The following is a 16,461-nucleotide window of genomic DNA, read 5'->3' as shown; positions in this document are numbered from 1 at the left end:
CAGCCCAATTCCCGCAGCCTCCGCGCAGCGTGGGTGGGGTTTGCCGGCTGCGGCAGTAGCTCTCGCCTGCGGGTGGTTTGACAAGGCTGGCGGCGCCACACCAGCGACCAGGTGAGGCCGACCAGGCACAAAGGGGTGGGGGGCCTGGAGGGCCGAGTTGATGTTGGGGTGCTTCATTCTAGGTCCCAGAGCTTCTCTGAGGGAACTGGCCCTGGGTTTTGCGCGGGATGTCGTGGGACCCCTCTCCAGCAGATCCTCCCCAAAGCTTGGGAGAGGTTCATGCAGCCTCTTTAGACCCGGAGCCGCAGCCTGGAGCCCGCGGGTGTCTGGGGGTCTTCCTGGGCCTCAGCTGTCTAAGGTCCTGAAGCCCTATCCTCGAGGCCCAGCCCGCCCCACGCAGCCCCCGCCCCACCCCGGGCCACCTCCATGCCCGCATATGCATGAGAGAGGTGATGCCATGAGCTGTCCTGACCTCTCTTTTGTCTCACACCTCTCTAAGCCCCAGGGCCCGCAGTAATCCCAACTCCACTCTCAACCTCTACTGAGGACTGGGGACGGGAGTAGATGACTCAGCCCCGAGCAGGAATGAGGGGTGAAAGGTTCCCACCTGCCTTGTATAAAGTCAGCGAGAGTCCAAGATGGTGCCTGGACGGGGCAGTTCTCTGGCCTAGGGTGAGACAGGAGGGGGGCCTAAGGCATGGGAGGGCAGGATGCTTAAACCAGGGGGAGGGGTGGAAGTTTTAGGGGGCAGCAGGGGAAACATTTACACCCCTCCCTCATCCCTGCTCTCCCTGCCCAGGCCTGGAGCTCACACTTCTGAGAGGCATCGCAAGCGAGGGCCTTCACGTTACTGAGACCCCAGCCCCGCACAGAGGCTCATGGAGCTCGAAGCACGCAGGGCTGGCCTCTCCAGAGCTAGCAGATTCCTTCTGGACCTGTAGGGTGCCGCCCTAGCCCAGCCGCCATGGCGCAGGGTTTCGCAGTGGGCTTCGACCCACTGGGCCTAGGAGACCTGAGCTCCGGCTCTCTGAGCTCCCTCTCCTCCCGAGGCCACCTAGGCAGCGACTCAGGCTCCACCGCAACGCGATACCTGCTAAGGAAGCAACAACGGCTGCTGAACGGGCCCCCCCGCGGAATCCGAGCCTCATCGCCCATGGGACGCGTCATCCTCATCAACTCCCCCATCGAAGGTAGGGGCGGGACCCAGCCACTGGCCTGGGTTGGGGAGGGTGGGGGTAGGGGACAATGGGAACTCAGCAGGAGGAGGCAGAGCCAGTATGATTGGGGGAATTCAAGAGATGGGAGTCACAGGGAGGTGGCAGGCCGCCTGGGAACCCATACACTCTTCCTCACCTGCCCTTGGCCTCTCCTCCAGGCCAATCCTGCAGGGGTCCAGGGTCGTAGAAGGGTCAGAGGAGGGAAAGAAGGCCATGGCAGCAGGGACAGGCATGCGTGTGGTATGCTAGCCCCTGGTGGACAAGGCAGGGGATTGAACTGGCCTCTCTCCCATGGGCTCTGCCCTTCTCCAGATCCATTGTGTGTACTTCTGGGGGATGGGGCAGGATAAAGAAGGACATCCTCCATCAACCAGTCCATTGTGTGACAAGCTCTGTGCTGGGCTGCGAGGAGTCAGTGCCCAAGCGGGTAGACAGAATTCAGGGCTTCCGTGCTGAAGGAGGGGAATGAAGGCAGCACAGCAAATGTTCAGAAGAGGAGGGTTGAGGGTGGAGAGGGAGCTCCATCAGGGAAGGGGAGACCTAAGCTTATGTAGTTGCTTAATGCCGCTTCATGGAGCACAATTCTATACCAGCCCTGGGGAGGTGTTACAAGGGACCTAGAGAGAAATCAGGCTCCCTCTTCACCTTCCAGGAATCTACAGTGTAGCAGGACAGAGCAATAAGAACAGCTGGTGGCAGGGGTGAGCTGTCACCAACAAAGGCTGGAAGTGAAAAGCATGGAGCATGGTAGGTGGGCACTTAGGAGCCAGCCTGGCTGTAGTGACAGATGTGAGGTGACTAACAGCTGATGAGCAAGACAGGACCTAGAATGCCAGGTGCGGAGCCAGGCCCCCTGAGTCTGAGCTTTCTGTGAGCAGGACCAGATAAATATCTCCAGCTCCTCTCCTCTTTCTTAGCCAGCAGAGCTCCCCTGGCTGGATCCCAGACTGGACTGTTCAGGCCCTGCTCCTCCCCCTCTGACCCAGCAGGGCATCTCTCTTCCCCTCCCTAGGCCACTGGAGCAGGGTGGGGCATGTTGCTCAGGGAGCAGGCTTTCCTCCACCAGTGCCCTGGCACGCTCACCCCTGTCATACACCAGTCTATGCTTCACCCTCTGGTGAGCACAGGGCACTGCTGAGGGTCACCACGGTCATTCTGGTGAGGGAGCAGAAGTCCCCAGAGGAGTTAGGAGACATTGGGGAAAAGGGAAGCAGGCACCGCATAACTGTCTTTATTAGTCCCATTCTATTAAAAGAACTATGCTATACTCCCTCTGATACACTCTTTCTGTTTCTCTCTCTCTCCCCTTCCCTTTGCCCATGTATGATGCAAGCGCTGTTTATAACGTCTTTTTTTTTTTTTTTAAGAGGGAAAGGGTCTTGCTCTGTCGCTCACCCAAGCTGAAGTGCAGTGGTGTGATCATAGCTCACTGCAGCCTCAAACTTCTGGGCTCAAGTGATCCTCCAGCCTCAGCCTCCTGAGTAGCCAGAACTATAGGCATGCAACACCAAGCCCAGCTAATTTTATTTTATTTTATTTTTTGTAGAGACAGAGTTTCACCATGTTGCCCAGGCTGGTCTTGAACTCCTAGGCTCAAGTGATCTTCCGGCCTCAGCCTCCCAAAGTGCTGGGATTATAGGCATGAGCCACCATGCCTGGCCTATACTGTCCCTCTAAAGATCCTCTTCCAGGGGTTTCATGATTGCTTTCTCCCTCTGCCTCATGCTAGCGCCACTGTGCAGCCAAGGAAGCAGCATCTCCTAGCAGTGAGGGACTGAGGAGTTGCTCTGACCACTTGGCTTCTCCTCTGACTGGACTGGGACCCTCTGAGCTCAGAATTCTCCCCTCTGCCTGAGAACAGGTATCTCCCAAGTCACCGCAGCCTGGAACCCTGCCCCATGTTATTATTTAGATCACTCCCGGGGAGTAAAGTAACTGATAAGGAATAAACGGTGACATTGCCACCTACATCGGCCCCATGAGATCCCACCAGCTCCTTAAATTCAACTGGTCCCAGAGAAAATGCATTACCTTTAATCCAGGAAAGCATTACCCTTAATGCATTTCTCCTCACTCTCCTAGTTTGACCATCCATCCATCCATTTATTCTTTCACTTATTCAAAAAAAATACCTATCAAATACCAAGCACTGTCCAACATATTGGAGATATACTAGAAGAGTATTACGAAGTCCCCACCATGATTGAACTTATGGTCTAGTGAAAAGAGACAGATAAATCACAAATAAGCGAACGACGACAAAGGATGGGAAGAGTCAGAATGTGATCATCTGATGACATGATAGAATGGTGCTTCTCAAACCTCAGATGCCTCAGAATTGCCGGGAAGGCTCATTCAGGGATAGATTGCAGGGCTCAGTCCCAGAGCTTCTGGTCCAGTGGGTCTGTGGTAAAGCGAAGGAATTCCCGTTTTTAGCAAGTTCTCAGATGACACTGACGCTGCTGATCCAGGATTACGCTTTGAGAAGCCCTACAAGAGGTACTCACTGGGAGGAAGGGAGGACACTCCAGGAAGCCTTCTCCAAGAAAGTGGTGTCTGAGCCAGGAGGGGAACGAGGAAGAGGAGCTGACCTTCTAAAGGCCTGGGCAGGAGCACTGCAGGCAGAGGGAACACTGGAAGGGCTTGGCCTCCATGAGGAACAGGAAGATCAGTGTGGCCAGAGCTCAGTGAGGGAGGGGAGGGTGGAGGGGAGGGCGGAGGGGTGGGCAGAGGAAAGCCCAGGCAGGGCCTTATAGGGCATGGTGAGGAGACTGGAGTTCTAGAAGCAGGAACAGGTGTTGAAGTTTTTAATCAGGGAAAAGACATGAGCTAATGTAAAAGCTGACTCTGGGTACTGTATAGAGAATAGCTAAAGGCGGCAAGAGTGGAAGCAAGGATAGTGCCGGGGCTGCAGTGGAGCACCTGGGGGAGAGGCTGGGGCAGTGGAGGTAGAGAAGATTCCATCCTTGCAGGGCTCAGGCTCCTGGAAAATCTCAGATTTCACATTCCCTGACCTAGGGCCCTAGGGAGGCCCCAGTGAGGCCCTGAGGAGAGAGGGTTGGTAGCAAGGGAGTAAAAGGCTCCTTGGCTAAGGCTGAAAGTGTCCTGAGATCTGTGTAATCTAATCAGCTGGGAAAGCCCTGGCCCCCCACATCTGTCCTGCACCACCCCTCCCCCCAGGCTGCCCTCGGGGATTTCTTTCTGAGCTGCCCTGGCCGTGCCCTGTAACCTGACTTCTCTTAGATCAAATTGAAGTGTGTGTGTGTGTGTGTGTGTGTGTGTGTGTGTGTGTGTGTGTGTGTGATTTCTCCCTGTCAAACACCTCTAGAGTAACCCTTACCTATGAAGAAATCTCAGCTTCTCACCTGGGACCCAACTTACCCCTCCAGCCTTCTTGCTTTTCTGTAACTGGAAGGCCTCCTCAAGGGCCCACAGCTGAGCCTCCCTGGCTCTTTCCCCCTCATCAGTGCCCCCCCTTACCCCCCACCCATCAAAATCCCACCCATCAGAGTCCTTACAGAAACCTTACCTGGCCTGGGCAAGGTGGCTCACACCTGTAATCCCAGCATTTTGGGAGGCCGAGGCAGGTGGATCACTTGAGGTTAGGAGTTCGAGACCAGCCTGGCCAACATGGTGAAACCCTGTCTCTACTAAAAGTACAAAAATTTGCCCGGCATGGTGGCACATGCCAGTAATCCCAGCTACTAGGGAGGCTGAGGCAGGAGAATCGCTTGAACCCAGGAGGTGGAGGTTGCAGTGAGCCAAGATTGAGCCATTGCACTCCAGCCTGGGAGAAGAAGCGAGATTCCGTCTCAAAAAAAAAAAAAATTCTTCCCCGACAGGTTCAACCTTTAGGAACCCCCTTCCCCGCCTACTTTCCCCAGCGTGATGGAGAGGGCCGCCTTGGGCACATACGTATTGCAGTGTGGTGTGGTCTGGGGTTTCTTTCCCTTTGTAGCCAGGTAGTTCCTAGAACTCTGACTTCCAGAATCACAGAGTCTAACAGATGGGAGGACCCTCAGGGATTCCATAACATCCCAGACAGAGATTTGCTGGGTCCCAGCTTGCATGCCTCCAAAGATGGGAGGCTTACTATCTGTCTTAGAAAATCTCTTCCATTGGCCGGGTGTGGTGGCTCACGCCTGTAATCTCAGCACTTTAGGAGGCCAAGGCGGGCAGATCACGAGGTCAGGAGATCAAAACAATCCTGGCCAACACGGTGAAACCCCGTCTCTACTAAAAATACAAAAAATTAGCCGGGCGTGGTGGTGGGCGCCTGTAGTCCCAGCTACTCGGGAGGCTGAGGCAGGAGAATAGCGTGAACCTGGGAGGTGGAGCTTGCAGTGAGCTGAGATCGCACCACTGCAGTCCAGCCTGGGCGACAGAGCGAGACTCTGTCTCAGATAAATAAATAAATAAATAAATAAATAAATAAATAAATAAAATCCCTTCCATTTCAAGGCTGGGGTGGTGGCTCACTCCTGTAATCCCAATGCTTTGGGAGGCCAAGGCAGGTGGATCACGAGGTCAGGAGTTCAAGACCAGCCTGGCCAATATGGTGAAACTCCATCTCTACTAAAAATACAAAAATTAGCCGGGTGTGGTGGCACACGCCTGTAATCCCAGCTACTTGGGAGGCTGAGGCAGGAGAATCACTTAAACCTGGGAGGCCGAAGTTGCAGTGAACCGAGATTGCATCACTGCACTCTAGCCTCAGCGACAGAGCAAGACTTTGTCTCGGGGGAAAAAAAAGAAAGAAAACCCATTCTATTTCCAACAGCAGAATGTTTTAGAAAGTTTTTCCTTACAAAATCTGCCTCTGTCTAATTCCACTGTGTGAGCAAGAGTACTGCAGGCAGGTTCTGTTTACACAGATGAAAACATCTAATGCCTTCCACAGGGTAGCTCTACAAGCATTTGAAGATAGAGCTAATATACTAATTTATGCTGCAAGCTGATGAAGCCAGACACCCTCAACCATCCCCCATAGAACAGAATCCTGAACCTTCTTGTCTGTCCATCTGACCCTGGGAGTATCAGAATTGTTTATTAATTTGGCTTACCCCAGGCCCATGGGCATGTGAAGCTCAGAAAGCACTGATACACACACACACACACACACACACACACATATTAGGAAGGAAGGAGAACAGTATCTTTTTTTTTCTTTTTCTTTCTTTCTTTTTTTTTTTTTTTGAGACAGGGGTCTCACTCTGTCACCCAGGCTGGAGTGCAGTGGTGTGAACACAGGTCACTGCAGCCTCGACCTCCTGGGCTCCTGCCTCAGCCTTCCGTGTAGCTGGGACCACAGGCATACACCACTACACCTGGCTAGAGAATGGTGTCTTTAGCATAGAGTCCTGTCCCGCTGATCTCACCTTCTTTCACACCTTCCTGGCCCATGGTCTCAAAATCACTCAGAGCGGGCAGGATATGCGGCTCATACCTATAATCCCAACACTTTGGAAGGCCAAGGTGGGAGAATTGCTTGAGGCCAGGGATTTGGGCCAGTCTGGGCAACAAAGTGAGACCCTGCCTCTACAAAAAATTTAAAATTAATCCAGGCACAGTGGTGTGTGCCTGTAGTCCTAGCTACTTGGAAGGCTGAGGCAGGAGGGTTACTTGAGCCCAGGAGTTTGTGGCTGCAGTGAGCCATGATCACACCACTGCACTCCAGCCTGGATGACAGAGCAAGACCCTGTTTCTTTAAAAAATAACATAAAAATCACCCAGAGGGGCCTTAGAAATGGGCTGACCTGCCCCACTGCATTTAGGCCCCTACGTGCCTGTGTGACTGTGCCCAGCAACCTAGCCTTTGCAGGCCCCAAGTTGGGGAACCCAGGGGCCCTCTGTGCCCACAATGAACATGGGGGCATCCCTAAATCCCTGTCCTCACAGCCAACAGTGATGAAAGTGACATCATCCATTCAGTCCGGGTGGAGAAGAGTCCAGCAGGGAGGCTGGGCTTCAGCGTGCGCGGGGGCTCAGAGCATGGCCTGGGCATCTTCGTCAGCAAAGTGGAGGAAGGCAGCAGTGCAGGTAAGCAGAACCCCCAGGCTGAAGTCCACGCTTAGGATGTGACTCCAATCTCAGTGAATGGCAGGGGATGCTGCTGTCAGGGACAGACGGAAGAGTCCCCAGCTCTGGAGGGCCTGATTGATGGGGAGACAGGGCCAACCCTCAAGTCAGAATGGTTTAAGGGACAGATCCCTAGGCACTGGGAACACTCAGCCCCTGCTCTGACAATCCTCACTCTGATTGAGAAGCTCAGTTTGACCCCAGGGAGCTCCATCTGATGGGGGAGGCTCAGCCCCACCCTGGGGACCCATGCCAGCCACTCCCATCCTGTGGTGCAGAGCGGGCTGGCCTGTGCGTGGGGGACAAGATCACGGAGGTGAATGGGCTGAGCCTGGAGAGCACCACCATGGGTAGCGCCGTAAAGGTGCTGACCAGCAGCAGCCGCCTGCACATGATGGTTCGGCGCATGGGCCGTGTGCCGGGCATCAAGTTCTCCAAGGAGAAGACCACGTGGTGAGCAGCAACTCCCTCATCCTAGCCCTGGCCTTGCCCCAGCCCACCCCAACCCTACCAACACCCAAAACCCACTGGCAGGAGAGGCTTCTGTTCCTCCTGCTCGCTGGCTCAGGAAACGCAGGGGATCCAAAGGCCTGACCTCAAAATAAGGAGAGGCTGCATCTTTCCCCTGCCCTCCTCCAATAGCTCTGCTCTCCCAGATCCCAGTGGTTCTGCTGCCACATTGCCGCTGCTCCTGCTGTGAAACCCAGAGGCAAAACACCACCTCTCTACAGGGGTGCTGTAAGGATTAGAAATGGGGCCTAGCCTGGGCAACATAGCAAGACCCCTTCTCTAAAAAAAAAAAAAAAAAAAAAAAAAAAGCCGGGCATGGTGGCTCAAGCCTGTAATCCCAGCACTTTGGGAGGCTGAGGCAGGTGGATCACCTGAGGTTGGGAGTTCAAGACCAGCCTGACCAACATGGAGAAACCCCGTCTGTACTAAAAATAAAAAATTAACCGAGCGTGGTGGAGCATGCCTGTAATCCCAGCTACTTGAGAGGTTGAGGCAGGAGAATCACTTGAACCTGGGAGGCGGAAGTTGCAGTGAGCCGAGATCATACCATTGCACTCTAGCCTGGGCAGCAGGAGTGAAACTCCATCTCAAAAAACAAAACAAAACAAAAACAAAAAAACTGGGCATGGTGGGCATGTACCTGTAGTCCCAGCCATTCAAGAGGCTGAGGTGGAAGGACTGCTTGAGCCCAGGAGGTTGAGGCTGCAGTGAGCCATGATCACACCACTGCACTCCAGCATGGGTGGACAGAGCAAGACCCTGTCTCAAAAAAAAAAAAAAAAGGAATGGTCCTGGCACATTGCAGCTGCTCAATAAAAAGAGGCAATTAGGCTGGTTTCCCAGCTAATGAACCTATGCCCCACTGCAGGTCTCAGGCCTGGGGAGTCCCCCAAAGGCAACCCCCACTTTCCCTGCAGTTGTCAGAACTGCTGGGAGGGTGGTGGGTGGCAGTGGATGGAGGACCCCACCTGAGGGCCCCCTGCTGTTGTCCAGGGTGGATGTGGTGAATCGGCGCCTGGTAGTGGAGAAGTGCGGTTCAACACCCTCCGACACCAGCTCAGAAGATGGTGTCCGGCGCATCGTCCACCTATACACAACCTCCGACGACTTCTGCCTGGGCTTCAACATCCGTGGGGGCAAGGAGTTTGGCCTGGGCATCTATGTGTCCAAGTGAGGGCTGAGGCAGGAAGTGTCTTCGGGTAGAACTGAGAATGGGGTCTGGAGTGGGGCCTAGGCTGGGATGTGGGGATGGTCAGCAAGTGAGGCCTGGCCAACCACCTGTCTCAGTGAGGGCCTGGGAGGGGGCGGGAGGCCCCAGTAGGAGGGTCAAGGACCTTGACTGGTGCAGTCTTGTGTCCAAGAGAAGGGGGTCTGGAGTGGGGTAACGGAGGGCAGGCCAGGGGCCTATCAGACTGACGCCTGTCTGGCCTCAGAGTGGACCATGGTGGGCTGGCCGAGGAGAATGGCATCAAGGTGGGGGACCAGGTCCTGGCAGCCAACGGTGTCAGGTTTGACGACATCAGCCACAGCCAGGCCGTGGAGGTGCTGAAGGGCCAAACGCACATCATGCTGACCATCAAGGTGGGCAGAACAGTGGGGGTAGGGAGAGGTGAGGCTAGAGTAGGGGCTTCCCAGACCACCCTAGTTCTTAATAATGCTCTGCAATTTATGACGTTCCCACAGCCACTAGAAGGTAGACAGGCATTGTTCTCATCCCTGTTTTGAAGAAGAAGAAACAGGTTTAGAGAGGCACAGCAACTCACGAACAGGTCACTTACTCAGCTGGTCAGTGGCTGGGCTTGGTTCCAGTCCTGCTCCCCACAGTGCTAGAGTGGTGCCCCCTTCTTATGAAGGGTGGAGGCCTAGGGTTGAAAGGAACAAATGTCTTGCCCAGAAGGGAGGGGTGGTGGCTGCGGTTTGGACAGGACCTGGGTGATGGGCATCCCCAGGGCATACAGCTAGGAGGGCTGGGCTGGGGCCAGAGGTTGGATTTCACGGGAGGTGGCTGGATTCATTATTCATGTGGGTCTCACACTTGTCTGAGGATCAGGTCTTCTCATTCCGGCTCCTGGAGGATGCCACCTCACTCTCCCCTGGTGCCCAGCCCTGGCCCCTGCTCTACCTTTCTGCTTCCCTAAGCCTTCACTTGGGGTGAAGGCTTCACTGGGTGCCTCCTCTGCCGCCTTCCCCCGCCAATTTCTACCTCTCCCCCATCCCATTTTTCCTTTTCCTTCCTCTCAGATTATCCCAAACATCTTTCCTCACTCCCACTCTGCCCCTCATTCATTCAACAATATTTTTGAGCACCCACTATGTGCCGGCCACTGTGCCAGGTACTGGGGCTGCAACAGTGAACAGGACAGATAAGTTCTCTGCTACTGGAGGGAGACAGACCAATAAACTAGATGCTTGCAGATAGTGACAAATGCTCTAAGGAAATTAACAGAGAGATGGAATGGAGTAATTCAGGAAGGCCCCTGTATCTCAGGGTCAGGGCTGCCTCCAGGCAGAGTGAACAGCAAGTGCAAAAAGGAACTTGGCACGTTCAGAAAGAAAGTGGCCTGTGCGGCCAGAGCATGATGAATTTGGAGGACAGAAATGAAGTTGAAAGTTTACTCCCATCCTGTCACCCCCGCCCCATTCTCACTCTCCCTCCTCACTGCTCCCCCTTCCCTCCTATGCCCACCATCCCCTCCCCAGGAGACCGGCCGGTATCCTGCCTACAAGGAGATGGTTTCTGAGTACTGCTGGCTGGACCGACGTAAGTGGCTCAGATCTCCCAAGGTTGGAGGGAAAGGGCTGAGGCCTTAGGGTGGGGCCCGGCTCTCTGAAGAAGAAAAGGGCCAGGCTTGGTGGCTTACACCTGTAATCCCAGCATTTTGGGAGGCTGAGGTGGGAGGATCGCTTGAGTACAGGAGTTCAAGACCAGTCTTGGCCATATAGGTAGACCTCGTCTCTACAAATAATAATTTAAGCCGGCCGCGATGGCTCACGCCTATAATCCCAGCACTTTGGGAGGCTGAGGTGGGCGGATCACCTGAGGTTGGGAGTTCGAGACCAGCCTGACCAACATGGAGAAACCCAGTCTTTACTAAAAATACAAAGTAGCTGGGCGTGGTGGCCCATGCCTGTAATCCCAGCTACTCGGGAGCCTGAGGCAGGAGAATTGCTTGAACCCAGGAGGCAGAGGTTGCAGTGAGCAGAGATGCCATTGCACTCCAGCCTGGGCAATAAGAGTGAAACTCCATCTCAAAATAATAATAATAATAATAATAATTTAAAAATTAACTGGAGTGGTGGTGAGGGCCTGTGGTCTGTGCTACTTGGGAGGCTGAGGTGGGAAGATTGCCTGAGCCCAGGAGTTTGAGGCTGTGGTGAGCTGTGGAGCTGTGATTGTGCCACTGCACTCCAGCCTGGGTGACACAGTGAGAGCCTGTCTCAAAAAAAAAAAAAAGCCTGGCGCGGTGGCTTATGCCTATAATCCCAAAACTTTGGGAGGCTGAGGTGGGTGGATCACCTGAGGTCAGGTGCTCGAGACCAGCCTGGCCAACATGATGAAACCCCGTCTCTACTAAAAATACAAAAATTAGCTGGGTGTGGTGGTGGGCACCTGTCATACCAGCTACTTGGGAAGCTGAGGCACAAGAATCGCTTGAACTCAGGAAGTAGAGGTTGCAGTGAACCGAGATCACATCACTGCACTCCAGTCAGGGCCATAGAATGAGACTGTCTCAAAGAAAAAAAAAAGAAGAAGAAGAAAGAAGAAGAGGAGGAAGAAGAAGAAGAAGAAGAGGAGGAGGAGGAGGAGGAGGAGGAGGAGGAGGAGGAGGAGGAGGCAGAAGCAGAAGCAGAAGGGGAAGCAGAAAAGCACAGGAACCAAGACCCTTCACACAGTCCAGAGCTATTTCTGGGCTCCCCTCTGAGAATCTGCGGATAAAATGCAGGCTCTCCTAGGGTCTGGAGTCCCAGTGGGTGATTTGAGAAGTGACATGCCTTAGGTCAGTGGCAGCATTTCGGAGCAGCGGGTTCCTCACCACTGCGGTTCTAACCCTGGCTGCTGCCTGACCTTGCCTCCTCCACCCCTAAGCCCAAGGGTGGTCTGCAAGCCGGGCAGGGCTCTGAAGCAAGCCCGCTGATCCCTGGCTTCTCTACTCCCTGCAGTGAGCAACGGGGTGCTGCAGCAGCTGTCCCCGGCCTCTGAGAGCAGCTCCAGCGTCTCTTCGTGCGCCTCCAGCGCCCCCTACAGCTCGGGCTCCCTGCCGTCGGACCGCATGGACATCTGCCTCGGGCAGGAGGAGCCCGGCAGCCGCGGCCCAGGCTGGGGGCGGGCGGACACAGCCATGCAGACGGAGCCCGATGCGGGAGGCCGGGTGGAGACCTGGTGCAGCGTGCGGCCCACAGTCATCCTCAGGGACACCGCCATCCGCTCGGACGGCCCCCATCCCGGCCGCCGCCTTGACTCTGCGCTCTCTGAGTCTCCCAAGACGGCTTTGCTGCTGGCCCTCAGCCGACCCCGGCCCCCCATCACGCGCTCCCAGAGCTATCTGACCTTGTGGGGTACGTGGGGGATGGGTGGCGGCTGCTCCCTCCACAGCCTCTGGTCCAAAACCTGTCTCACATCCTGTCCCGGGCTCAAACCTCCCTTTGCCCCAGGCCTTGACGAAGCCCTTGCCCAACCCAAGCTCCAGGCTGCTCAGACCCTGCTGTGGGCTCCACTTTAAATTAGTCCTGGACCCCACATTCACCCTTAGTCTCAGCCCCTGTTCCCCGAACCAGCCCTAACCCCAGCCCCTGGATCCTGGAGTTCCCAGGCCTATTTACACACACAGTTGCTCAAACACACGCACGCATGTGTGCCCTTCTCTAACTGGGCCTCAAGGGAGATTCCTTACATAGCCACAGCTGTGCGGTGGGGAAAAGGGTCAGAAAGTCGGAAGAGGAACCGCACTCTCACCCCGGCGTAGCTGCAGATCCTGTCTGCCCTCTCCTCTCCCTTCTCTCTGTCCCTCCCCACACCCCTGCCCCTCGTCCTTCCCTTCTGCCCACCCCTCCAGCTCCCCCGTTGCTCCCTCGTGTCTGCAGAGGAGAAGCAGCAGCGGAAGAAGGAGAAGTCGGGGTCCCCTGGGGAGAAGGGTGCCCTGCAGCGCTCCAAGACGCTGATGAACCTCTTCTTCAAGGGAGGGCGGCAGGGGAGGCTAGCGCGGGACGGGCGCAGAGAGGCCTGGACACTGGACAGCGGGAGCCTGGCCAAAACTTACCCTCGCCTGGACATAGAGAAAGGTAAGTAGTGGGCTGATCAAACAGGAAGGCAAAGTGAAGTCCACTAGCTTCGGCATTCAGCAGTTCTGAGTTGAGATCCCACACCGCGTCTTACCAGCTGAGTCCCTACTCAACCCCTGAGAGCCTCAGTTTCCTCATGAGTAAAATGGGGGTAATAATACCTATTTCTTTTTCTTTCTTTCTTTTCTTTCTTTCTTTCTTTCTTTTCTTTCTTTCTTTCTTTCTTTCTTTCTTTCTTTCTTTCTTTCTTTCTTTCTTTCCTTCCTTCCTTCCTTTCTTTCCTTTCTTTCTTTTTCTTTCTTTTTTTTTTTTGAGATGGAGTTTTGCTCTTGTTGCCCAGGCGAGAGTGTAATGGCACCATCTCAGCTCACTGCGACCTGCGCCTCCCACGCTCAAGCGATCCTCCCACCTCAGCCTCCCAAAGTGCTGGCATGACACGTGTGCATCACCATGCTCAGCTAATTTTTTTGCATCTTTTTGTAGAGATGGGGGTTTCACCCTGTTGCCCAGGCTAGTCTCAAATTCCTGGACTGAAGCTATCTACCCGCCTTAGTCTCCCAAAGTGCTAGGATTACAGCGTGATCTACCACACCTGGCCAATCCCAACTACTCTGGAAGCTGAAGCAGCAAGATCACTTGAGCCCAGGAGTTTAAGACCAGCCTGGGCAACATAGCAAGACCCTGTCTCTAAAGAAAAAAAAAAAGTAAAAGAAAAATAAAGCACGTCTTGGCTCAGCTGCTGATTTAAGCTGGGTCTAAACATCTGAGCAACATCATCAGACATCTGTCCCCCTCCATCTCTCCCATGAGTTGACTTCGCTATTGTGGGGCTTTGCCCACCTGGGGGTAAGATGACCTCTATTGCATAGCAACCCCAGGGGAAAGTGCTTCTCCTTAAATAGTTCCAGCTGAAGTCCCAGGGTAGGCTCTCCCTGGCCCAGCTGAGATCCTGTGCCATGCAGAATAAATCGCTGTGATGTGGGAGGGAAAGTGCTTTTGTTGGCCAGCCTGGGTCATGTACCCACCCTGGAGTACACGGGCTAAGAACAGAGTGGGGTGGGTCCCCAGGGGAAAATCAGGGTGCTGTTTTCAGAAGAGGGGGGTGGATGTCGGATCAACAAAACAACCAGAGGATGAGGAGCTGGACCCTGCTTTGCCCTGGGGTGGGATGTTCTGGGGTCTCAAGGTGATTGTACCATGGGAGAGACAATCCCTTCCAATTACGGCTGCCTGGCCCCTCTCCGTCAGTGCATCTCTCTTCCCACAGTTCCCAAGTCCCTGCCCTCTGCTGGTTCTCCTCCCACCTCTCTGGCCACTCCTCTATCTCCTTCCAAGGCTCCTCTTTTTCCCTCTGTCCCCTGAAGGTAGGTACTTCTCCAAGCTCTGTCCCTGAGGTTCTTCCCTCCATACATTTGCTTCCAAGTGAATTTGCATAAGCAGTGCTCAGACTGCACCCTGTTTTGATCCAAAACCGTCCTGACTCCCCATTGCCTATGAAGGAAGTCCATAGCCTGAGCATTGCCTTCAAGCCCCTCAGGGCCAGGCCTCTTGCCTCCCTATCCCACCTACTTCCAGTCTGAATTCTCCATTCCAGCTTGTCCTGAGCCCTCCTGAACCCCATTTTCAGACTGGGGGCCAAGGCCTGCAGCTGAGCCTCTTTCTTCTTCATAGCAGGGGGCGTGGGCCCGGTACAGAAGTTTGTCACCTGGAGACTGAGACGTGGTAATTCATGCATCCCTTTACCAAGGCCTAGTTTACAGTAGAGCGGCAGATGAGGGTGCATACTGGGGGCCAGCTGAGTGGCTCTGGACTAAATTCAGTCAGGGTCAAGCATGGGGGATCAGGCAGCTAGAATGGTATGTATTGGGGGCAGCTAAAAGAATTGGACTAAGCTGACTAGGAAAGATAGGGTGGCAGACAGATATTGGGATGCATTTTAGGAGCTTGTGTTGGGACTCCCAAAGATATATTTGGGGGTGATGAGGGAGCCTGTGCTGGGCCTCCACTGGGCAACAGACTACTATGACAGTGCATGTTCAGGGGGCCCTGGGGGCACTGGGCTAAGACCCCATTAAGAAACAGACTGGTATAGGGGTCCATGTTGGGGCTGAGGGCTGGGGTTTGTGCTGCATTGGTGGGCAGGTTGCTGTGGGCTACCATGGTGGGGAGCATATAGGCTAGGCTAGGATTCTGCCCCAGGTACCTGGGCTCTCAGCTGGCCAATTCTGGGGCCCAGCCCTGCTGAGGGAAGCCCCTCTCCCCTCCCCTGATGGTTCCTGCCCTGCAGACCAGGAGAGGGGCCGGGCCCTGCTGTCTGCCAGGTCTGGGAGTCCCTCCAGCCAGCTGCCTAATGTGGATGAGCAGGTTCAGGCCTGGGAGAGCCGGCGGCCCCTCATTCAGGACCTGGCCCAGAGGCTGCTGACTGATGACGAGGTGCTGGCTGTCACCCGCCACTGCTCCCGGGTAAGCCTTCATCCCATCCGCAGCCCTGGCACACGGTCCTTCAGTCACCCAGCCCATCATTCATTCAGGCCACTGTCCACTGACCAGTGTCTGGGCTTGACACCAGGAGGCTAGTGGTCAGTAAAATCAGAAGTCACTCCTGTCACACACACACACACACACACACACACATCTGCCAGCTCACAGGAAGAAGAGCTAGAAAATCACTAGAACCTAAACGCCCATGGTGATGAGTCACATGAAGAGCTGAAGAAAAAGAACATGAGACGGTAACCCAGGAGACACACATTAGATGGTGTGGGCTGGGAGGCCCTCCTAGAGGAGGTGATATTTAAGCTGAGAAGAGAAGGAGCGGACAGGTGCCACGTGGGGAAAGTGAGTCCCTGCAGTCGCCTGCCTCTGCCCTCTGCAAGCCTCCATCCTTCACTGCATGCCACCCTCTGCTCCTAGGTCAGCCAGTAAGCCTGGCTTCATGCCAGGTCCTCTCCCCTGTTGCCCAAGTAAGTAATCCTTTGCCTCCCCCAACACCTAAACTGTCGTTCTCTGTTCTCTTCCACTTCAAAAAGAACCAGAGCGCCCCAGGGTGGAGAGAGAGTCAGATTTGAAGGAGTCTCTGGGGCCCACCTGTTGGGGAGGCTGTGGGGCACAGGTCACTCACTCCAGGACTGGCAGGTCCTCTCCTGTCCCTGTCTCAGGAAGGCCTGTGTGTGTACACTGGGCTCTTTGTGAGGAGTCTGCACACTGTGTGTGAGGGCGAGCTGGGGGGTCTTGAAAAATTGTTTGTGGATTCCCTCACCCTTCATCTTACTCAAAGTGGGGCTGTGTTGTATGTCTGTGTGGTGTGTGCACTGGCGTGTCTGTGGGGTACCTGGTTTGTACTGATATGACTGCATGATTGTGTGTGTGTGTGTGC

General features: G+C 54.8%; 1 protein-coding gene across 16 annotated transcripts in view; it reads left to right on the top strand.

The window, feature by feature from the left end:
* Positions 55-16,461, top strand: part of PDZD7 (PDZ domain containing 7) — a 23,451-nt gene continuing 7,044 nt past the window's right edge. For 3 of the 16 annotated variants that reach the window (NM_001195263.2, XM_011540179.4, XM_047425768.1), the window contains exons 1-11: positions 55-111; positions 800-1,190; positions 7,116-7,256; positions 7,574-7,748; positions 8,799-8,975; positions 9,239-9,386; positions 10,506-10,566; positions 11,967-12,362; positions 12,888-13,085; positions 14,757-14,807; positions 15,373-15,548. In NM_001195263.2, coding sequence (NP_001182192.1) covers positions 965-1,190; positions 7,116-7,256; positions 7,574-7,748; positions 8,799-8,975; positions 9,239-9,386; positions 10,506-10,566; positions 11,967-12,362; positions 12,888-13,085; positions 14,757-14,807; positions 15,373-15,548 — 1,749 coding nt within the window. In that variant the 5' untranslated portion in view covers positions 55-111; positions 800-964. Of the gene's footprint in view, positions 673-799; positions 1,191-7,115; positions 7,257-7,573; positions 7,749-8,798; positions 8,976-9,238; positions 9,387-10,505; positions 10,567-11,966; positions 12,363-12,859; positions 13,086-13,400; positions 14,070-14,756; positions 14,808-15,372; positions 15,549-16,461 lie in introns of those variants that run through there. The other 13 variants (XM_011540177.4, NM_001437429.1, XM_047425767.1 and 10 more) reach the window with 13 other exon arrangements.

Source organism: Homo sapiens, chromosome 10, assembly GCF_000001405.40.
Source record: "Homo sapiens chromosome 10, GRCh38.p14 Primary Assembly".
In the NCBI taxonomy this organism is placed as follows: Eukaryota; Metazoa; Chordata; class Mammalia; order Primates; family Hominidae; genus Homo; species Homo sapiens.
This window is presented reverse-complemented; position numbering and strand designations above follow the sequence as displayed.